The sequence below is a fragment of the Homo sapiens genome, chromosome 17 (genome assembly GCF_000001405.40).
Source record: "Homo sapiens chromosome 17, GRCh38.p14 Primary Assembly".
NCBI classification, from domain to species: Eukaryota; Metazoa; Chordata; class Mammalia; order Primates; family Hominidae; genus Homo; species Homo sapiens.
The window spans coordinates 57,724,359-57,746,972 of NC_000017.11; the positions used below are offsets into that span (position 1 = coordinate 57,724,359).

General features: G+C 46.9%; 1 protein-coding gene across 1 annotated transcript, besides 4 other annotated features; it reads right to left on the reverse strand.

The window, feature by feature from the left end:
* Positions 2,556-3,055: an enhancer, noted in NCBI's record as "H3K4me1 hESC enhancer chr17:55804275-55804774 (GRCh37/hg19 assembly coordinates)". NCBI's record gives its function as "activates a minimal SCP1, AML or CMV promoter by ChIP-STARR-seq in primed H9 embryonic stem cells {active_cell/tissue: H9 hESC(primed)}" and the evidence as "EXISTENCE:reporter gene assay evidence [ECO:0000049][PMID:30033119]".
* Positions 4,202-4,457: a silencer, noted in NCBI's record as "fragment chr17:55805921-55806176 (GRCh37/hg19 assembly coordinates)". NCBI's record gives its function as "represses an EF-1alpha promoter that drives an FKBP-Casp9 reporter gene in an ReSE screen in phorbol 12-myristate 13-acetate-treated (for megakaryocytic differentiation) K562 erythroleukemia cells {active_cell/tissue: K562(+PMA)}" and the evidence as "EXISTENCE:reporter gene assay evidence [ECO:0000049][PMID:32094911]".
* Positions 11,536-11,605: an enhancer, noted in NCBI's record as "active region_12446". NCBI's record gives its function as "activates an Ori minimal core promoter by ATAC-STARR-seq in GM12878 lymphoblastoid cells {active_cell/tissue: GM12878}" and the evidence as "EXISTENCE:reporter gene assay evidence [ECO:0000049][PMID:35858748]".
* Positions 12,273-12,451: a silencer, noted in NCBI's record as "fragment chr17:55813992-55814170 (GRCh37/hg19 assembly coordinates)". NCBI's record gives its function as "represses an EF-1alpha promoter that drives an FKBP-Casp9 reporter gene in an ReSE screen in phorbol 12-myristate 13-acetate-treated (for megakaryocytic differentiation) K562 erythroleukemia cells {active_cell/tissue: K562(+PMA)}" and the evidence as "EXISTENCE:reporter gene assay evidence [ECO:0000049][PMID:32094911]".
* CCDC182 (coiled-coil domain containing 182) lies at positions 20,137-20,941 on the reverse strand. Its single transcript, NM_001282544.2, has one exon. It carries the CDS (start codon positions 20,912-20,914, stop codon positions 20,453-20,455), a length of 462 nt encoding a protein of 153 aa, NP_001269473.1. The 5' UTR covers positions 20,915-20,941; the 3' UTR covers positions 20,137-20,452.
* Between the last annotated feature and the right edge of the window lie 1,673 nt (positions 20,942-22,614).

Sequence of the window (22,614 nt, forward strand, 5' to 3'; positions counted from 1 at the left end):
AGTGACTGACGCAAGGTCACCCAGCAGACAGTTGGTGGAGCAGGGAGAGCTGTGAGCATTGCATTGCTGTGAGCATAGCATTGTAGGTTCTTTTCTGACACTTCAGCATCCCAGAAGGGTAGGCCGCAGCCATGATAATAGGAACAGTTTGTGATCCTCTCTGTCTGCCAGGAGCTAAGGCTCTGTGTAAACCACCTCACTTAATCCTCTCGGCAGCCCTCATGAATTGGTTTGTAATTAGTATCCTCACTTTTCATGAAGAAAATCCAAGACTAGAGAGCTTGTTCAAGGTCACACGGCTAGAACCAGGTCTTGAACCCAGGTTGCCCAACACCGGAGCCTGTGCTCCTAAGCCCATACTTGTCCTTATACTTGGACCCGGATAAGTAGGTGGCAAACCTGGAGTTCTAGCCATTCCCTTCTGCCAAGGGGCACAGATTGTTTCTGGAAGCATTCAACAAAGGGCATCCCCCACATGACAGAGACAGACTGTCCTTGAGCTCGGCTGTGAGTGTCAGGGGTAGAGGGGTGGTGTCCTTGCATCTGGTCCTCAAGGTTGGCCTGTTGCGGTGCTGTTGGCAGGGAGGGGAGCTGTGGCTCAGGCCTGGCTCCCGGCAGCTCAGCCATGAGATCTGTGCTCTCACTGGGCAGCTTCACATCTCTCAGTCCCTGGGTCTTAAGTGGGACATTTAGAATGGACTGGGGTTAGGCTTAAAACAGGACATCAGAAACTTGGGGCCAGTGTGACCCAGAGGAGCACGAGGCATGCCACACAGACCCCTTCCCAGCAGCAGGGCCCAGAGACCACTAGCCTCTCTGCTGGCAGTCTCCCTGGGCCACCTAGGAATAAGCTGCTTTGGATTACCTAAGTCGCCAAGGTTTCCACCTGGTTTGGGAAAAGAGAGGAATTTCAGCCTTAAGACACTCCAGGGCAAGAAAAATCAAGTACAGTGCCAATGGGGAAGGGCAAGCTGCGATCACACCACTGCACTCCAGCATGGGCAACAGAGTGAGACCGTCAAAAAAACAAAACAAAAAAAAAACGCCAGGCACAGTGGCTCACGCCTGTAATCCCAGCACTTTGGGAGGCCAAGGCGGGCAGATCACCAGAAGTTGGGAGTTCAAGACCAGCCTGACCAACATGGAGAAACCCCATCTCTACTAAAAATACAAAATTAGCCATGCGTGGTGGTGCATGCCTGTAATCCCAGCTACTTGGGAGGCTGAGGCAGAAGAATCGCTTGAACCGAGGAGGCAGAGGTTGCAGTGAGCTGAGATCACGCCATTGCACTCCAGCCTGGGAAACAAGAGCGAAACTCCATCTCAGCGACAACAACAAGAACAAAAAACCTCCAGCAAGTTAGGCTCCTGAGGGCAGGACTTGGTAAGAATAGAATGCTCTGAGTATTTCAAAATGTTTTATTTTCCCCTCCCCACCACTAGATTTTTCTGTGCGATTCACTGTGATGACCAGGTGGGCCATGGGGACCTGGTGACTGGGTCCCCCCTGAGGCTCTTCTCTCTCAGGTTTGCCCATGCAGAGCCTCCAGGAATTTGTCAATTACAGGGCATGTTTTTACCCCAGAACTGGTTGCCACAGAAGTTTCTGCTCCAGTAAGTTGTGATTCTCTGTATCCACCTGTCTTTACAATTTGGGGTGCAGTGGTTTGCCCGGTGACCTCAATTCTGTGGTGGATCTAAGAAGACTTGCTTTTCAGTTTGTCCAGTTTTGTACTTGTGGTTAGGATGGAGTGGCGGCTTCTGAGCGCCTTCGTGGCATGTGTCTGTGGAAAGGCCTTGTGTGATGTATTGAGTCCAGTGGACTCGGTTCATTCATTCAGTGCCCTCTTTGTGCTGGCATTGACTCAAGGTCTGCGTTCTTCGTCTTGCTATTCCTCACCTCCCAGAAGGAAAGGTGTTACAGACGTCACTTTACAGACAAGAAAAACTGGGGACCAGAGAAGTTAGGCCATGCAGCTGTGAGGGTGAAGGTTTGCACGACTCCAAAGCCCACATGTCCCTATGCTGATCACGTGCTGCCGCTCACTCTTAACGGTTTTGTCCCTCTCCCTGCAAATGCCCTCTGATCAGCCAAGCACACAGACCCACCCCTGGTCCCATGAGGAGGCTGTGGAGCACTCCATCTGTGCTCGGGTGAAGGGTTAAGCTGCCTCCCCTCATGGGAGGGAGGGTGCTGGCAGCCCCCTTATGGCAAGGTCCGGTTCCTGGGAAATATGCTCAAGTGGTGCATTATAGTTTTATGAATCCAGCTCCTTCTGTTGTCCTGATTGAAGTACAGAATGCCTGGGGCAGGCTGCCCTCCTTCACAGACCCATTTGTCATGGGAATTGATTAGAAAAGAAAAAGGCAGCTTGATGGCTTGATTGCATTTGTTTGAGGCAGGAGGAGGACTGCCACCTGTCTCTGCCACCTTCGGCTTGGCCGGACCAAAGGAAGTGCCAGCTCTTTGTCCCAAAGCAAGAGTGCCCTGAGGAGTGCCACAGATGCTGGGGGGAGCTGGCGGGGTCAACATGGTAGGGAAGCAGGGTCTCCTGAGCCTGGGGTTTGGGGCAGCGATGTGCCCTCTTGGCCTTGGAGGAGGCGGGGACACAGAGGAGCATCTGCTCTGAGGCCACTCGCCAGAGGCTTCAGAAGGGGGCTGCTCTGCCTTCAGGGTCAGAGGCAAAGAAAGGGGGCAGCTTAGTCTGTTACTAAGCAGAACCTCCCACACCAAGTGGCAAGGGGGCAAGCCCCAGGAAATGGAGGGTAGGATGAGGGAGGGTAGCCTTAGGGGTTCACTGTCCCCACATCCAGACTGTCCCAATGTGGCAACGGAGTGTGCCACTCAGCTCCCCCCACTTCTGTGTGATTCACTGTGAGGTAAAGCTCAGACCCTGAGCAAGGCAGCCACGATGCTTGAGCCACCTGCAGGCAGCAGGGCTACATTTATCCGCAGGTCCTGGGAAAGTCACAATATCTCAGACCATTGGACCCACCTCGTCGTTCAACAGAGGAGGGACTTGCCCAAGGGCACACAATGACACTTGGCAGAGCCAAGACCTGACCCACCTCTTGACTCCCAGATGAGGTGGCAAGAGAGAATGGGATCAACCACTGTCCTTGGCCATCAGGACTGTGAGGAAAAGAATAGCACCCCTTGCCAGGGTAAGCAGCTGAATTCACCTTGGCCTTCAGCAGGGAGACCCAGGCCTCTGACAGTCCGTCCTCTTGGCCTCCTTCCAGCAAGCCCCTGTTTCAGGTTCTCACACGTCTACACCCTGGCCATTGCTGCTCCAGGGCTGAGAGGTGCTGCAGGGAAGGAAGGAGGGAGGAGGGAAGGGCAGGAGGAGGGCAGTCCGTGCCAGGAGACTCAGGGGACACTGAGATGGAAGAGCAGGCTTATTGACCCACCACATACTGGCTCGGATTTCCATATTCAGCACATACTGGAAGAATAAACTCATTGAGATGCCACATTGCTTTCCAAGACATCCCAAGAGGCACAGGGTTGGAAAGGCCTAAACAGAGCTGGGAGTGTTCCTCCACTGTGAGCAGAAGGCAGGAAGACACCTCCTCTGGGACTGGCCAGCAGAGGCCTCACAGCTCCCTGCAGCCTCGGACACGTGGTGCCCTCAGCTGTCCCTGAGGTCCAGCAGAGCCGCCCGTGGAGCTCTAACTCCAGGAGATTGTGCACACATAAGGTGGATAGAGGGAACGCACTCTGGGGAAACAGGAACCCATCTTCCAGCTCTTACACACCTCTTCCTAGAGACTGCTGAATATCTCCCATGCGCCAGGTCTGGGGATAGTTGGATGTGACTATAATTCAGAAACTTCTTCCAAAGGGCTTATAGTCTGATGATGCAGGTGACTGCAAACAGGTGACTGCAACATGGTGTTTAAAAGGCCGAGATGCTGGTAAGCAAAGGTGTTATGGAAATACAGGGCTTTTAGCCAGAAAGGAGGGTCAGGGCAGGAGGCTTCCTGCAAGAGCTGAGTCTGAGAGGACAGGGAGGAGTTAGCTGGTCTGAGTGGTGTGACCTAAGGCAGAGGGCAAAAGCAGCACTGGGCCTAGACACAGAGCTGGGAAACAGCATGTTGTGCTTGGAGGATTAGAGGATGGTGGTGTTGTCAAGCTCAGAAGGGGAGGCTAGGGAGGCAGCTGGGGCCAGGGCTGCAGAGCTCAGATGAGCTTCCAGGGCAAAGGGCAGCATGATGATCAGAGTCTGGTCCCTATGGGGCCCATCTTCTGTGATCCTTTCCCCTTCCATGGGTGCTGTTCCTTTCCTGGCCATGTGCTGCCAGAGGGACCCCAAGGCTCCACCTGTCATGTGGCCCCATCCAATGTCACCCCTAGGCCCTGTAGGCCGAGTCTATGCAGCTCATCTGTCTCCCACCCACGGCCCCTCAGTCAGTCCATCCACAAAGTCTCCTCTTCACTTAAGGACACAGAACTCCCAAGGAAGGGAAGAGCCTGTAGCTGGCATCTGCTCCATGGGGCCCTTTAGATCCAGGGGAGAGATATGTGGACAGGGCACTGCCAAAAGTTAGACCCCCCAAAAGCATGGAGAAGGCCCACCAGGGGTTTGATGGAGATGACAACCTGAGAGCCGGCATTTGTCTGTTCCTGGGGCTTCCCACCCTGGCTGCACATTGCGATCATGAGGGTTGCTCTCCTGAGTAGCAACCCCTGGGCTCTCCCCAAACCAGTTAAATGGATTCTCAGGGTGAGTCCCAAGCATGGGCATTTTTAAAAGCTCCCTAGGTGATTCCAGCAGGCAACTCAAGCTAATAACCACCAGTCCATACCAACCAACTCAGATCCCATCTTTCTTGTTATGCCTTCTTCCTCTAATCTCACAACTTCTATCTCTCCCACTGGCTCTCTCCTTCCACCTGTTCCTTCTCTTCTTCTCCAAGGCTGACCCCTCTGCTAAGCTCTGGATCTCATCTCCTCCCATCATCTGGGGAACCAGACTCCAAAGAAAACAATGATACTAATAGTCATAATAATAAGAGCAGCAGTATTCATGGAGTGCTTAATATGTACCAGGCATATGAATGTTCTCATTTGGATTTTGTCCTCAGAACAACCCTTTACTATAGGTACTATCATTGTCCCTCATTTCAGAAAAAGAAACTGAGTTCCAGGGAGGTTAAGTATTAAATCATATAAGCCCAAGGCCCTGGCACTACTGAGCAGCAGGAGCAGGACTCACACCCAGGTGCCTGTGGCACTGACGCCTAGTCCTTAGCTGTCGTGGAGACCACCTCTCCATTGCTATCTTGGGCCTCCCTTGTCTGCAACCTCCATGACTTGCACTTCCTTGGCAGGTTGATCTGCCTTCATTCTCATTCTTTCCATGCCAGCCACTGAGTTAGCCTGCAAGTTCCAGAGCAGACACTGGGCGCTCTGTGTCCCTTGTGTCTCCACAAGGTATCCCCAGGTACATGCTCAGGGCAGGTGAGCCCTGGGCCCCCAGGGCTCTGGAAGGGCTTTGTTATAACCTGCTTACTTGTCAGTCATGCCAACCATATGGTGAGCCCTTCAAGGTAACACCTATGGTCTTACTTTTTAGGGAGGAGAAAAGGATCATCTGACTTAAATAAACTAAAATTTCCAAAAAATTCCACCGGCTTGAAAAATGCTCCATTGTACCCAGATGTCTATTTGATGCCTAAAGAATGCAACTGCTTGCATGTAGCCACTCCATCCACACTGTTTCCCCCTTGCCTATGGGGCTTTGTGCCATGAGGATGATCAGTAAGACATTTTTAGGTTTCTGCCCTGGTTAGAGTGAGAAGGAACCTGGCGGGGGGGGGGGTGTGACATGGGGCACAGCAGACGTGTGTGCTATGAGGCATGCAGAGGAGAGATGTGTGGGTGTGGGTATGGGTATGGGACATGGGGTGGCAGGCATACAAAGTGTGTGCATGGGTGTGATGTATGTGTGAATGGTGTGATGGGTGTGTCTCATGGGTGGCACATGTCTGGGGGTAATTTTTGTGCAGTGCATTGAGTGTGGTTTGCTGTATGTATGATTTGCAGATGATGTGATGTATATTTGTTATGTGGTGTGTGGTATGTTTCTATAGCATGTGTGGCATATATGTGATACGTGGTATGAATGTGGCCTGGGATATGATGTGTGTGATCACAGTGTGTGAAAGGGTGTGAGGTATGGGGTCATTTGTGTGTGGTGTTGGGTATGAGGTGAGTGATCTGTGACATGAGGAAGGAAAGAGATTTAGCCCCTCTCATCTCACTTCTGGCTTCTCTGCTCAGCCTGGGTCCTGTATGCACCTTCACTCATGCAGTAAGACTCACAGACTAAGACCCAAGGTGTCCCATCCTGAAAGTGACACAGCAGCCATCCCAGGAAGGGAGAGCTTGGGCTCAGCACTCCCCATCAAGGTAAAACCAGACTTTCTTCATTTTCTCAGCTGCTGAGAGCCCTGTAACCTGGGAGCTCAGCTTCAGGAATGCCAACAAGGAGAGGACAGAGTCCTATAAATGGTCAAGACCCCACTGCCTATAAGCAGGCAGTGAATGGGGAAAGCCCATATCCTTAAGTCTCTTCCCAAACCCAGATGGTCAGTTGATAGGCAGAACATTGAAGACAAAACGTTGGATTGAAAATAGAATTCCTATTTATCTTCTCCAGTTCACAATGGGCTCAGCCCCATGCCTGATGTAACCCTGATAAAATCTGGACTCATGTGGCTCATCGAGAGTTATTATGACCTAGAAGCACAATGCAATGCCATTCCTTACTCTCTATCTTAGCACTACTAAAGGAGACTCAGATCCAATGGACTCCAACAGCACTTACTAAAATCCCATTCATTCTACTTCCTTCTTTCCCTGCAGCTGCTTGGGTGTAACTCTCCTCAACCCCCTGAAAAAGCTCCTCCTTGGCTCCCAGTTTGTGAAATTCTCCTCTGCTCTTCCTACCTCCTCCAGCACTTTAAGATGTAGAATAACTTGGCCTTTCTGCCAACAAGAAGGAACCATTTTTTTATAGGGGCTGGGGGTAGGCTGGTGATTTCAGGATCCTCTTTGTAGGAGAGGAATGTCAGGGAATAGCACCACATTTGAGAATCTTGGATCCTGGTGCACTAAACCATGTGGCCTATATGAGTTGCATGTTCTCCCTGGGACTCTTTCCACAGCTGTTTAAGGCAACCATTATCCTAGCAACTCACTGCTTCACAGAATTAAAATCTGCTAAAGAGCCATGCTAATACCCAGACAAAGCTTTAGGAGAAAAGAATAGTACATTGATGAGTTATCTTTCTTACCTGTCCATTAGCAAGGCAGTACCCATGGCAGTGCAGTGCAGGACAGCAGCCTTGACCAGAACTGATGGAAAGCTGCAGAGATGCCACCGGAAACTCAAATTGGAAGTCAGTGCCAGCATTTTAATACCTTTCTATAGTATTGAGTTGGGGTTTGGGGAAGGCTGGGAGGGTTTACAGGTGACATTCCTTCATTACCTAGGACAGAGAAGGAGGACACACACACACACACACACACACACGATGTTCTTGTTTCATCTTTCTACACCCACCCTCAATTTTTCTGAATCTCATTTTCCTCACTTGTAAAATGAAGGTGACAACTGCATAGAACAATCCTTTAGAACCAGACTTTGGAACCTGTTCTACCTTTTCTTACTAGATGTGAGACCTCAGACAAGTAATTCAACCACTCTAGGTCAGTTAGTGATTACTGCGAAACAAGCTACTTCAAAACTTAATGGCTTAAAACAATAATCGGTTATTATTTCTCATGAGTGTATGAGTAGCCTGGGTGGTTCTGCTGATGTGAGCCAGACTTGGCTGATCTTTGCTGAGGTCACTCATGCATCTACAGTCAGCTGGCAGATCAGCTGGGGGCTGGCTGGTCTAGGATGGCCTTGGCTGGGATAACTTGGGTCTGTTCCACATGGACTCTCATCCCCAGGATAGCCTGGGCTTGTTCTCATAATGGTGTTTATTTCCAAGAGAGTGAGTGGAAACACACCTGGGCTTTTTCAAGCCTGTGCCTGCATTAAGTTTTCTGCCATCCAATTGGCCAAAGAGTCATTCGACTGAACCTGGAGTCAGAATGGAAGAGGCCTATAAAGTTACAGGGCAAATGGCTGGATCACAGGGAGGCAAGTAATAAGTGTTGTCAGTGTAATCAATCTACCACTACCTTTAAGCTCAGTTTCCTTATTTTCTTTTAATTGAGGCGAAATTCACATAACTTAAAATTAACTTTTCTTTTTTTTTTTTTTTTTTTTTTTTTTTGACACAGAGTCTCAGTCTGTCACCCAGGCTGGAATGTAGTGGTGCCATCTCGGCTTACTGCAACCTCCACCTCCTGGGTTCAAGCAATTCTCGTGCCTCACCTACCAAGTAGCTGGGATTACAGGCGCCCACCACCACACCCGGCTAATTTTTGTATTTTTAATAGAGACAGGGTTTCACCATGTTGGCCAGGCTGGTCTCGAACTCCTGACCTCAGGTGATCCACCACCTCAGCCTCCCAAAGTGCTGGGATTATAGGCATGAACCACCGTTCCTGACCAAATTAACCAGTTTAAAGTGCACAATTCAGTGATATTTGGTACATTCACAATGTTAGGCAATACCACCTTTATCCAAGTTACCAACATTTTAGTTACCACAAAACAAAACCTCACAGTATTAAGCAGGTACTCCTCATCTCCCCCTCTGTCCTCTCCAGCACCTGACAACCACCAATCTCTTCACTGTCTCTATCAATTTCCCTATTCTGGATATTTCGTATAAATGAATAGGTGAACGGTGTCTGGCTTCTTTGACTTAACATCATATTTTTGAATTTTATCCATGTTGTAGCACATATGAGCACTTCATTCCTTTTTATGGCATAATAATATTCCTTTGTATGAACATGGCACAATTTGCTGATTCATTCATTTATTGCTGGATATTTGAGGTGTTTTCATGCTTTGGTTATTGCAAATGATGCTGTGACAACATGAATGTACAAAATTTGTTTGAGTAACTGTTTTCAATTTCTTTAGGTCCATACCCCCCAAAAGAGTAGAATTGCTGGGTCATATGACAATTTTATGTACAACATTTTGAGGAACTCAGTTTCCCTTATTTTCAAAATGGATTACTTTGTGGAGATGCTGAGAGGCTTAGAGAGTGCATGTGAAGTGTCTTGCACAGAATACGACTTCAGTAAAGGGTTTATATAACTATTCTTTTGTTCCTTCATTCAATAACCATTTATTGATCCCAGGATCAGGAATTATGTGAGATGCTAGATAGATATGTGGATATAGACGATATAAAATATCTATAAAACATATGCCTATATTTTTATAGACATATAAATATATCCCCAGGGTCCCTTCCAGCTCAGACTTACAATGGTTCCCTCCTTGGTTCTCGCCTGGTGTGTCCTTCACAAACAGAAGACAAAAGGCTCTCTCTCCCTCCCTCCCTAACTGAGTCCCCGGGAGGTGGCTGGCTTCATTGCTCCCCACCTGAATCAGTTCAGACCACCTATTTCAGATCTGTCGGCTCTTATAAATGTAGCCACACACCCGCAAAGTGAGACAAAATGGCAATGTGATTAGTGTGTGTGTGAGTGTGAATGCTCATGTGTCCCTGTCTCATTGCTTTTGTAAAGATTAATACATCAGAGCAAGCACTTACGAAGGGAAGAATAAAAAACAACAACCAGATCCAATTCTCCAGACATTCAATAACCGAATGTCACCCACATGGTAAGCAATAAAATAAAAATATATGCTTAGCAGAGGCAATATAAATATGATGTATATTTTGAAGTTGGATAACAGAACAGTGGCATAAAAATAATACCCAGTGGCAAATTCAGGAAAGAGACCTTTTAAAAACACAGAATGTCTTTGGGCTGCCATTCCTAAAATATCGCAGCGTCTCAAGCAGTAAAGGAGGGCTTGGTTTAAATCTGACAGGAGCACCTCATGTAATGAGGGCATGGAAATTCTTGCCAGCATCCCAGTGTCAAGGCAACATCTACTTCTCCTCCACCCCCCACTACTCCACTCCTGAGAGCTGCCCCCTCTACAATCTACTGGCTCCATCCTCTCTGCCTGTCTCAATAACCCCTTACTTTTCTTTCTTTCTTTCTTTCTTTTTGAGACAGAGTCTCGCTCTGTCACCCTGGCTGGAGTGCAATGGCACGATCTCGGCTCACTGCAACCTCCGCCTCTTGGATTCAAGCAATTCTCCTCCTTTAGCCTCCTGAGTAGCTGGGATTACACGTGCGTGCCACCACGCCCAGCTAATTTTTGTATTTTTAGTAAAGACAGGGTTTCTCCATGTGGGTCAGGCTGCTCTCAAACTCCTGACCTCAGGTGATCCACTGCCTCAGCCTTCCAAAGTGCTGGGATTACAGGCATGAGCCACCGTGCCCAGTCTCAACAATCTCTTACTTTTTAAAACTCCTTCACAGGCATTATTCCATTCAACCTTTACAACCTGCCTCTGAGGTTAAGAGGACAGGTATCATTATTGCCATTTTATAGATGAGGAAATAGAGGCCACATAAGTGGTCTGAAACCTAGAACTGAAACGCCACCTACCTGCCCCTCCACCCCAGAAAGAAAAAATGTCTTCCTTGTCTTAGAAACTGTCATTTTGCACTCACACGTGCATACACACACAAACACACACACACACACACACACACACAAATCATTAAAAAGATTTCTGCACAAAACCAACTCCTCCCTCTGTGGCCCAGCACAAATCTTGATTCCCAGCTACTATTTGTTTAGGGAATACAAAGCAATTTTTTGTACCAACCAAACAAAATGTAATTAGAAAGTAAATCTGGAAGTGTATTGTAAACATCAAAATATATCAACGGTAGATGCTATGCACTTCTTAAAACACACACCTTTTGCAAGTCTTAGTTCCTGAGATTCTGACCAGAAAACGGCAGTCCGAAAATGTGTGTACTTTGCCTAAGGCCTTGAAATGAGAACTCCAGGACTGAAATGCACATTGCTGCTGCAGAGGAAAGAACCACCTGTTATGTGTTTCTAAGCAAATCACTTGACCTCTCTGAGTTTTCATTTCCCCATGATAGAAAGAGTAGAAGGAGAAGATCTCTAAGTTGCTTTCTAGCCCTGAAATGCTCTAATTTTATCTCTAGAAAAAAAGACAAATGTTGCTCAGGGAAAGCCCTGTGTTGCTCACAGAGGGGTCAGTAAAATATCTCTGATGGAACCCTAACCTCTAATACATTCCTGTGGGGAAAAAGTCTATTTTAGAAACAAGAAGACAGGGCACTGGTCCTGTATCAGCCACTAATCACTATGTAACCTTGAGCGTCTCCTCTGCTAAATGAGAAATTTGGACTTGATGAATATGAGAAATAAATGTCACCTCAAGTGCCACTCTGTGACCAGTATAGATAGTGGCTACCTGGGAGCGAGATGTTGAGAAAAAAAATATGAATCTGCCTCCAACTCAAGCAGGAAGAGTGTTGGGATCGATGACTGATGCCTGCCACCTGTGGAGGGCTCCAGGCAGTGCATGTGGCCTTTGCCATCCCTGGGGTAGATCCTCTCTAAGGTGTCTTTTTACTTGAACTAATCCTTTGCGAGTAGCACACGGAAAACCAGGGGATTCAGAGTCACCGATGGACTGGAAGAAGAACTTGGCTTGTTCAACTGTTTTTATATTATCCATGGCTTGGGTTTGAATAATCTGTCCCCTGATACCACTGTATTTTAGAAATTGCTACCTAAGGCAAATTCTCCACTTTTAAACTCATTTCCTGAGTCGGTCTTTTTAAGGCCCACATTAAATATTGATCTGCCCTGGAGAGATCTAATTTATTTAGTAGAGACATGTTTGACTCCGCCAGAACTGTCAAACTCAAAAATGGGGCCATACCCCTCCCAAAGCAATAACCATTGACGATAGTGACAGACAAGCCAAGGGCACCAGAACCAGCGGCGTTCCACTGTCAGAGTCTCAGGGACAGGGCCTGCCTTCTGCTTTCACACAGGTAGCCCTCTTGCCCAAGACTATTGGAAGCTCTCTGAAAACCTTTCCCAAGAGGCTGGTTTTCTGAAAGTCAAGGTGTCCACTCTGTGCTGGCCAGGCTCGCCATCTGCCGCCCCAAGGCCTGTTGGCCCATGGTGGGGAACCCCAGAAACCTCTTCTGCTTGCTCCCAGCGAGCTCTGTTTCTGGGGCTATCGTGACCAAGCTCCAACCTTCAGACTCTGCAACCCCTCCCTCAAGTCCTGATTCTGGCCCAGGAACAGGGACCCTGGTTCTAAACCTCAGCCCCAGTGAGCTTTGGCTTGATTGACAACGCGCTGGCTGTCTCCTGTTTGCACTTAATAGACTCCAAAGAGAAAGAGAGAGAGAGAGAGGAGAGAAGGAGATTTTATCTGCTCCAGCCTGGGGAGAAGGACTCTCATGCCCCACACAGCCAGCTCAGCACACAGAGTGGATTGGAAGATTTGAGGTTCTGATCCAGCTTTGCCTTTGGATCTGGCCTCCTTCACCTCTTGCACACAGAATCACCTGCTTCCATCACCCTACACTCTGGGTTGATCCAGCTTAATTTCACTCCATGATCTAGGCTTCCAAGCACAAATGCCGAAATTCCCTTCTGGGTCTCTGGCAACATCTGTTTGAGGTCTAGCAAACAAGAATCCCCAAGGCCAGGAACAAAGCCTATCTTCTTGGGTTAGGGAACTGAATTATAATTACAAGTCTTAGCAAATTATCCTACCCTACCTGCATTCCCTCTGTTAATTCACCTAAGTATCCTGTGAGGCCCGTAGTGTCTTTATCCCCATGAGGGATATGGGGAAATTGAGGCTCCAAGTTTGTAGCCGCTGACCACATATGGCCAACTAAAATGAAATAAAACTTAAAATTTAGTTTCTAAATCCCACTAGCTACATTTCAAATGCTCAATAGCCACATATGCCTGGTGGCGACTAAATTGACAGTGCAGAATTACAGAACATTTTCGTCATTGCAGAAAGTCCTATCACACAACACTGTGAGGGGTAGAGTAACATCCCTGTGCCATGCAGAAACCGAGTAGCAGAGTTGGTACTTCAGCTAGGCCAGTTTGTCTATCCACTACCCTTTTCTGCTATTGAAAGGAATCCGAAAGGAAAGGGTTGAGATGGGCAAGAGGTCAACAAAGAAATCTCACTCTTAGAGTGAAGGTTTTTGAGGGACACATCTGAAAAGTTTAAGACCTTTTGACCACCTCCTGGTCACGTGACAGCTGTCACCAGCACCAGGGGCTACCTGGCTACCTGGTCATGATGCTGCTGTTTGCTCCATCAGACATCTCTTCCAGCCCTGGAGGGGCTTGGGGTTTGATCTCCCTGTGGCAGTCAGTTCTATCCCTTATCTCCCTGATGAAGGGGAGTCAAGCACACATTTGGGCACAAAAGAATGTCTTGCACACCCTGCCAAGCTCCTGAGACCTCTTGGAGATAGTGAAGGTCAATCAAGTTCTAGATCTCCAGTTCTGATCCATTTATCATTTATGACATGCCTTCTATGGCCCAGTCTCTAATTCAGGCACCTTTTACATCTATAACCTAGATAGTTTCTGGAGCCCATGTGGCTTCAGAATGTCCATAAACTAAAAATAATTTAAAATAATCGCAGTCTATATTTGTATCACTCAATATTAAATGGGATTTGAATGATAAATCATAACATCATTTATTTTTCTCACTGTATATTTGAATTTACACTTTATTTTATAAACAGTTTTGTTTTTGTTTCTTGAAACAGAATCTTGCTCTGTCGCCCAGGCTGGAGTGAAGTGGTGCCATCTCGGCTCACTGCAACCTCCACCTCCACGGTTCAAGTGATTCTTGGGCCTCAGCCTCCCAAGCAGTTGGGATTACAGGTGTGCACCACCATGCTCAACTAATTTTTTTCTATTTTTAGTAGGGATGGGGTTTCGCCATGTTGCTCAGGCTGGTCTCAAACTCCCGGCCTCAGGTGATCCACCTGCCTCGGCCTCCCAAAGTGCTGGGATTACAGGTGTGAACTACCACACCTGGCCAATATGTTGTTCTTTTTATTGCCAAATAACATTCCATTGTATGAACATACCACATTTTGTCTATTCATCAGTTGATGGATATTTGAGTTGTTTTCACTTTTAGGCTATTATGAATGATGCTACCATGAACACTCACATACCAATTTTTATGTGGAGATGTGTTATTATTTGCATTGGGTATATACCTACGAGTGGAATTGCTGGGTCATAGGGTAACTCTGTGTTTATCATGTTGAGAAACTGCCCAACTGTTTTCCAAGATGTCTGCACCATTTTACATTCCCATCAGCAATGGGTTCCCATTTCTCTGTATCATCACCAACACTTGTTATTGTCTAGTCTTTTGATAGTAGCCATATTAGTAGGAGTAAAATGGTATTGCATTGTGGTTTTGACTTACATTTCACTAGTGTCTAAGGATACTGAGTATCTTTTTGCGTGCTTGTTGATCATTTGTCTATTTTCTTGGGAGAAATGTCTATTCAGATCCTTTGCTAGCTTTTCAGTTGAGTTATCTTTTTATTAAGTTGTAAAAAAGTTCTTTCTCTTTTTTTAGGATACAAGTCTCTTGCCAGATAAATGATTTGTAAATATCTTCTTCCGTTCTGTGGGTTGCCTTTTTCACTTTCTTAATGGTACCATTTGCAGAACAAAAGTTTTTAATCTTGATGAAGTCCCATTTATCTATTTTTTCTTTAGTTGCTTGTTCCTTTTGTGTCATATCTAAGATTTGCTCCCATGCTTTCTTCTAAGATTTTATAATTCTAGCTCCTATACACATCACTTCTTAATGCCTTCCTTCCCCTAAGCCATTGGCCTCCCCTCATCTCTTCTATACTTCTGCTGTCCAACCTCATTCTCAGGACTCATTCTCAACTACGCACTGAAAAGACTTCTCTCTGAAAATCTAAGCCTGCCAGGTTTTCTTTCTTACGTTTCTCCATCTCCTTGTTTCCTTCTAGTTGTGTCTATTTTTTCTTTCCCATGAATAAATCTCAGCCCTTTCTGAAACAAGACCCTTAGCTTCCCCTCTTTAGTTCTGCATCAAAAAAGTCTAAAACTTGGGCTGGCTCTCTTAGATGACTAGGAATAGAAGATTGCAATCTCTTATAATTTAATATATTTCCTTTCAGCACTGTTGTACATGCCTTATCTCAATTACCTCTTAAACAAGCCTAGGAAGTTGGCCCCACAAATCCCAATTTGCAAGTGGGAAAACAGAGGCCTTGGTGTGACAGAGATGTTTGTTAGTTAAAGGATCACATCTTAAATAGAAACCTAAGAAGCTGCAGAGTTAGAATCTGTACTTGGAATTTCTGACCACAGGCTCAGTGCTCTGCCACAAAATGCTGCCTTTGCCCAGAGATTTCCACTCAGCTGCTCTCAAAGGTCATATTGATAAACACCACTCACACAAACAGGCACAGATGATGCCACCACCTCCTGTTCTATTCAACATATGTTCCCTGAGCAGCTACTCCTTGCTGGGCATTCATTGTGAGCCACATTCACTTCTGAAGCAGCCAAAAAGAGGAGAATAGGAGAGGAGATGGACAAACCCTTGTGTACCTCTTTGCCTTCTCACCTCTACTCTGGAAGACTTGCCACATCTGCTGCATGAGCCACACCCAATACATCTGGACCCTGGGAAAGTCACTCTAGACTGACACCTGGTGTCAAAAAAAAACATGCCCAAGGCTCACTGCTCTTAGCACTGGGCGGATTACTAAATGGATTGGGTCAGATCAAGAGGCAAAGCTCTGCATGTGGAATGAAGCCAATGCCCAAATCCAAACCCTTGCTTCCCAGCCACACTGCACAACTCTGCCTAGCCATGCTCCTCCCTGAGCGCTCTCTTCTTCCCAGCACTAAGTATCAATTAAATAGACAAGGCTGAAGTTGTGCCAACTGGGTGAGTTCCCTCCCCTAGCCACACACGTTTGCTTTCCTGCATCTCAGCTACCTTGCTGCTCACCCCAGCATCCCAGCTTGCAGTAGACACAGGACTTGGGGTCCCAGGGAGGACTCCCTTGTCTGCAAGTGGTTTTCATAAGATGGAGCCATATGTCTAGGATCTCAGCAGCCCTCTGATTGCTGTGGATGCTGAGGGGGAGCAAGCAGAGCCTTGCAGCTTATAGAAAACCTTTGAGAACCAACGGCTATTAGCATGGAGAAAACCATCTGTTATTTTTGTCTTCTATTTGTCTTAGAATTTCAGGGAAAGTGAGCAGTTGGGCTGCTTAACTTTATTGTTCACAGTTGGGAGCAGAAGAGTTGAAATGAGGAACTCCAGCTTCCAAAGCTACAAACCAGATTGTCTCCTCTTGGCTTTATTTTATTTTATTTTATTTTATTATTTTATTTTTTGAGACAAGGTCTTCCTCTGTTGGCCAGGCTGGAGTGCAGTGGCATGATCACAGCTTGCTCTAGCTTTGAACTCCTGGACTCAAGTGATCCTCCTGCCTCAGCCTCCCAAGTAGCTAGGACTACAGACATGCACCGCCACACTCAGCTAATTTTTTTATTTTTGTAGAGTGAGGGTCTCACTATGTTGCCCACGTTGGCCTCGAACTCCTGGCCTCCAGCAATCTTCTCGCCTTGGCCTTCCAAAACACTGGGATTACAGGCATAAGACACCACACCCAGCCTCTCCTTGGCTCTTTAATCCACCATAGGTTTCCTCTGTCCTCCAGGACTAAGGTTGCAGCTGTGAGTTGTGGCCTAATGAGGAATCCCTGGGGTCCCCAGAAGGATCTCAAAGGTTGCTCGGAAAAGGCCTCGCTCTCAAATTTTCTTGCCAGATTGAGGTGGAAGGCAAGGATCTGAGAGTGGGGAGGAGAAATGGACACAAAGACAAGCTCTTCCAGCTGCAGAATGAACAGACCAGCCTCCTCTGGCTAAAAATGACAGCAGAGATGCACTGACCTGGCATGTATGGCCTCTACCATCCTTGTTTCCTGCCTTGAGTTCCTGTGATTTGCCCCACCCACAGCCTCACCTGGATCACCCCACGGTGTGTATTATTTCTAGTGCAGGTGACCAACCATCCTTGCTTTCCCAGGACTGAGAGAGATCTTGGCCTGAGGGACTTTCAGTTTTAACACTAGAACAATCCCAATTAAACTGAACAAGTTGGTTACCCTGGACGGTGTTAACTGATTGCATCTCTAAGAGTGGCTGCCTGTTTTAATGACCAAGGGGTCGCAAAGTCTCCCTGGCACCCTTTGGGTCATCTCGAGCCTCTGACTTCAAGGGTGAAGGCTGGGTATCGGGCAGATGAAGGTGAAGCAACTGAAGGCAGTGGGTCTGTACCCACAGCACTGAGGTGTAGCTGCACCTAGACCCAGCCCATCTCCCCAATTCTCAGACCTAACTCCATGCTCCCTGCAGCCATGCGACAGCCACCCACACTGCATGACACTGCCCAGTCAGTGCCATCTCCCAGAGCTGTCTTCTTCCGGCCCTCAGTATCCATGATATAGAAAAAATAAGACTGAGGATGTGGCAGCTGGGGTTGATTACTACCAGCCTCACTAATGAAACCTTGATTTTCTTTAGATATTGGGTAACTGAAGTGTCCAGGCCCAGGAGCAGAGTTGTGGCAATTGCTTTCCTCTTTTCATAATTGGTTTAGGGCGGGCAAGCAACCCAGGTATGGCCAAAGAAATGTCAATGTCAATGGAAATCTGATGGGGCCAAACTCATCCCTTTATGAGGAGCCTACTCCTGAGATAACTAACCAAGCTCCTATGATAATAGCATTAATCTATTACCACATAAAGGCCCCACCTCCCAACACTGTTACATTTGGAATTAAATTTCAACATGAGAGGCCGGGCACTGTGGCTAACGCCTGCAATCCCAGCACTTTGGGAGGCCGAGGCGGGTGGATCACCTGAGGTCAGGAGTTCGAGACAAGCCTGGCCAAAATGGCAAAACCCTGTCTCTACTAAAAATACAAAAATTAGTTGGGTGTGGTGGTGGGCACCTGTAATTCCAGCTAGTTGGGAAGCTGAGACAGGAGAATCGCTTGAACCTGGTAGGCAGAGGCTGCAGTGAGCACAGATCATGCCAGTGCACTCCATCCTGGGTGACAAAGCGAGACTCCCTCTAAAAAAAAAAAAAAAAAAGATTCAACATGGGTTTCGGAGGGGACATTCAAACCATAGCAGTACTTACCTTCAAAGGGCCAACCATGGTGCCTGGACTATATCATATTCTTAATAACACTAAGCTCTTATATTAGTAATAATATTGTTAGTATTACCATTATTATTACTTAAGCTAAATCTTCCAAAGAAACTGCCTAAAGGCCAGGCACAGTGGCTCATGCCTGTAATCCTAGCACTCTGGGAGGCCAAGGCGGGAGGATCACTTGAGGTCAAGTTTGAGACCAGCCTGGCCAACATAGTGAAACCCCATCTCTACTAAAAATACAAAAATTAGCCAGTTGTGGTGGTACGCACCTGTAATCCCAGCTACTCGGGAGGCTGATGCAGGAGAATCACTTGAAAGCCGGGTTGCAGTGAACTGAGATTGCACCACTGCACTCCAGCCTGGGCAACAGAGTAAGACTCTCTTCAAAAGAACAAAAAAAGCAGCTGGGGGCAGTGGCTCATTCCTGTAATCCCAGTACTTTGGGAGGCTGAGGCAGGTGATCACCTGAGGTCAAGAGTTTGAGACCAGCCTGACCAATATGGTGAAACCCCGTCTCTACTAAAAATACAAAAATTAGCTGGGCATGGTGGCATGAGCCTGTAGTCCCAGCTACTCCGGAGGCTGAGACAGGAGAATTGCTTGAACCCGGGAGGCGGAGGTTGCAGAGAGCCAAGATCACACCATTGCACTCCAGCGCTCCAGGCTGAGTGACAGAGAGAGACTCTGACTCAAACTAACAAAAAACAATGACAACAAAAAAACTGTCTAAAGTTAAAGTAGGGTTGCAGCCCTTCGTGGTAGATGGCTATTGGATGGGTATTACAATTAACCATGGGTCACGGGGTCCTTTTGGGAAGCGCAGCTTGGGAGTTCCAGATGTTTAAATCTTATTTGGAGAGATTCTATGACAGAAGGAAGAGGGAGAATGAGACTGCCACAGAAGATCAGAGGATATGGAATCTGCTGTAAGCCCAGAACTGGAAAGACAGACTTGACTTTCTGTTGAGGCACTGGCTCTGGTCTCCAGGCACGTCTCTTCTGCTGTTTAGAGGAGAATCCCTGCTGCATGGCAGCATTTGGGTAGCCAGAGAGAAGATATATGAATTGATGAAGTAGAAGACTAATTGGAAATAAAAGGTATAGTGTCAGCTAATGAACTCCCAAGTCACCCATGTGACAACCTCAGCCTTCCAGAAGAACACGTCCATGAACAGCCTGAAGTGGTTCCAAAACTGGGGAGCAGAGAAGGATGCAGCAGGATGCAAATGAGCACAGCTGACCTGGACTTAAACCATGGCCCTGCCACTTACTAGTGTGCAGACCTTGGGTACTGGACTTGCCTTCCTGCGGCCAGTCTCCCAGTGTGAACCATGGAAAATCAACACTCACCTCCAAGGTGCCTATGGAAGTAAGTGGGATGGTATGTGTGTGTTGCCTGATAAATGGCCAGGCACTGTGACAATAATTCCTGCTCCATGGATCGAACACAGAAATCAGTTTCCCCACTTCCTAGTGCCATCTCAGAGGTGTTGCATTATCGGTTGCTAAAGCTCAGCGAGTTCCACCCACACAGTCCCAATAAGCTCTGTCATTCCGATTGGCCAGTCTGCAGTCTAAATGGAAAGGAAGTAGAGGTAGAAAGAGGCAGCAAAGAAAAGTGAGATGTGACAGTCTAAGAGTAGAGGCAGACAGAAAGACCATACAGACAAGGGTTAGAATACTAAAAACAGAGCAATCTGGGGTAGTGTTAGTGCACGGGCAAGCAGTCCGACCCCTCTGGGGAGATCATGTGTTACGTGATGTGGTATCAGTTGACCAGGTGTTAAGTCTCAAATCATGAAAGCCTCAAATCATTCAAAAAAAAAAAGGTGAATGTTCAACACAATCAGTTTAAGAATATACTATACAAATAAAGAGGTATACATTGAGCAATAGTACCATTACAAACAGGAAAACAGTTCAAGTGAAAGTTACAGGGGCCTGACTCAGTACTGGGGTGCCTCCTTCCTTTAGAATGCTGGATAAATGGAATTTCACCAAAAAAAATATTGAAGTCTTTTTGCCTCTCAGCAAGGTGTTATTTAGGCAGAAGGAAAGCAATGGAAATGAGGAAGGGAAAGCAAGGGGGTAGGGACTTGGGGTTTCTCCTTCCGTTAAAAAAAATCTTCAACTTGGTGCTTGGCTAGTGCCACCCACGAGGTTCAGTCAGCCTGGCTCTTCTTGGTGGCACGCAGGGCGTCACGTCCCCTGTCCAGCAGCAGGTCCTCCAGCCGCTTGCAGTGCTCCCGGAGCTGTTTCTCGCGCGGCAACAGGAAGGTGAGAACCTTGTTGCGCACGATGCCACGGTCCTCCTCCTCCCTTAGCCGCTGCCTCACGCGAGCCGCCTGCTCCTCCTGTTGCACCAGGGCTCCATTCATCTCGCAGAAGGCGTCTTCAAGGTAATGAATGGACTTCAATGCCTCTTTCTTAAAGTCCTCCAGTTCCCGTTGCACCCCGGCCACCTTCTGCTGCAGGATCTCCAAGTCAGCGGGTGGTGGGAGGCAGGAGGGCCATGACTGGGACAGGGAAAAGTCTCCAGACTGGAGGCCACTCTCTATCATTTTTTTCCCCTGTAGGGTATTCACCGTCATGAGAATGGACCCAGCCTGGTAGAGGGGTTCCATTGTCTCTTCTACGTTGGACAAAGAGAGGAAGCCAAGAGACCAACCAGGTCAATAAATATTTTTGGCTAGAGACACGATCATTCGGAGTGGAGAAACCCTAGAATTGTGACATCAGGGCCCCTTCAGCCAACCAGAAAGAAAGCCACAATCCATTCATTTGCATATTGTAGCTTCCTTGGTTGGTTACCTAGAGCTTTGTCTGTTTATCTGACCAAGTCGCCCTCCTGAGATGTGGATCCTTAACTCATCACCCTTCTAGAACCAGAACTCAAGTTCTTCTTTAACCTAAGGAACAAACCAAGTCCCAGAGCAGGGAAGTAAACTGGCCAGAGCAAGGCAGGCCAGGCCAGGCTCACTGGCTGCCAGGACTGGGTGGTCTCCCACACTGGCAAGGGACCTGCATGGTCTTGGACTGGTCTCTGGGCTTTAGTACCTCACTAGTAAAACAAAGACATTGTAAGAGATGATACCTAATCCCACTTGTAGCTCTAAAATGCTAAAAAGTAATCTCTTATTCCAAGTCCATACTCCTATAATGATGTCAGAATTCTATAAAATCTTAGAAATTGCGAAAAATGTACTTAGATTTTGATGTATGGTCCACAGCAATGGCTGATTCAGCAGGTGCAAGGTAAAAATGGGTTAGTCATATTTATTCAATAAATACTAAGTGCTCACTACACACTAGGATCAGGGAACAAGTGAGTGCATGGTCTTCCAACATACCTGAATGTTAACAAATATGAGAAACAACACATAGAAAGGTAAATCTTGTACTTTTTACCTGATAATTAGAACAAAGGAAAATACTTCTAGCTAATCTACATTTGGTTTAGTCAGGAACAAACCTTCATCTTGCACATCTCAGTCTCTTGCCTAGACTTCTCTCCTGGTCTCCAAATCTAAACGTCTCCCCCACAATGGGCCTCCAATTCAAGCCATCCAAAGCTGAATTGGTGATCTCTTTACCCAAACCAGTTCCTGTTCCAGTGTTGCTGTCAGATTAATGAGAGCAACCCAGAACAGCACACACACCAGAGCCCTCATGAGACAACTGGTGCTGTGATGCTAATATTTGTCCCCTCCCAAACTCATGTTGCAATTTAATTACCATTGTAACAGGATTATGAGGAAGGACCTTTAACAGATGATTAGGCTACCCTTTAAGAGATAAATGGATTAACACTGTTATCTTGGGAGCAGGTTCCTTATAAGTGGATAAGTTCAGCCCCTTTATGTCTCTCTCTCACCCTCTCTTTGCCCTTCTACTATGTGATGTCTTCTGCTGTGGAATGACACAGCAAGAAGGCCCTTGCCAGATGCCAGCATTTTGATTTTGGACTTCCTAGCCTCCAGAACTGTAAGGAAATACATTTCTGTTCTTTATAAATTACCCAGCATCGGGTATTTTACTATAGCAGCACACAATAGACTAAGAAACTTAGGATCAACCTAGACCCTTCCATGTCAAAGTGGCTCTAAGTCCTGTTCAATCTACCATTGCCAAGCACTCTAGCATCAAACCACCTGGGTTAGAGTCCCAGCTCTACTTATAATCTACCTATCTTTGGCAGATTACCCCATCTCCCTGAGCCTCAATCTTTTTTATAAGTAGGAATACTAATTCAGTGGTGTGCAGTTCTATGGGGAAAAGTGAATAAAACTCCGAATTATTTTGATAGCTGTTGCCAATTTCCATG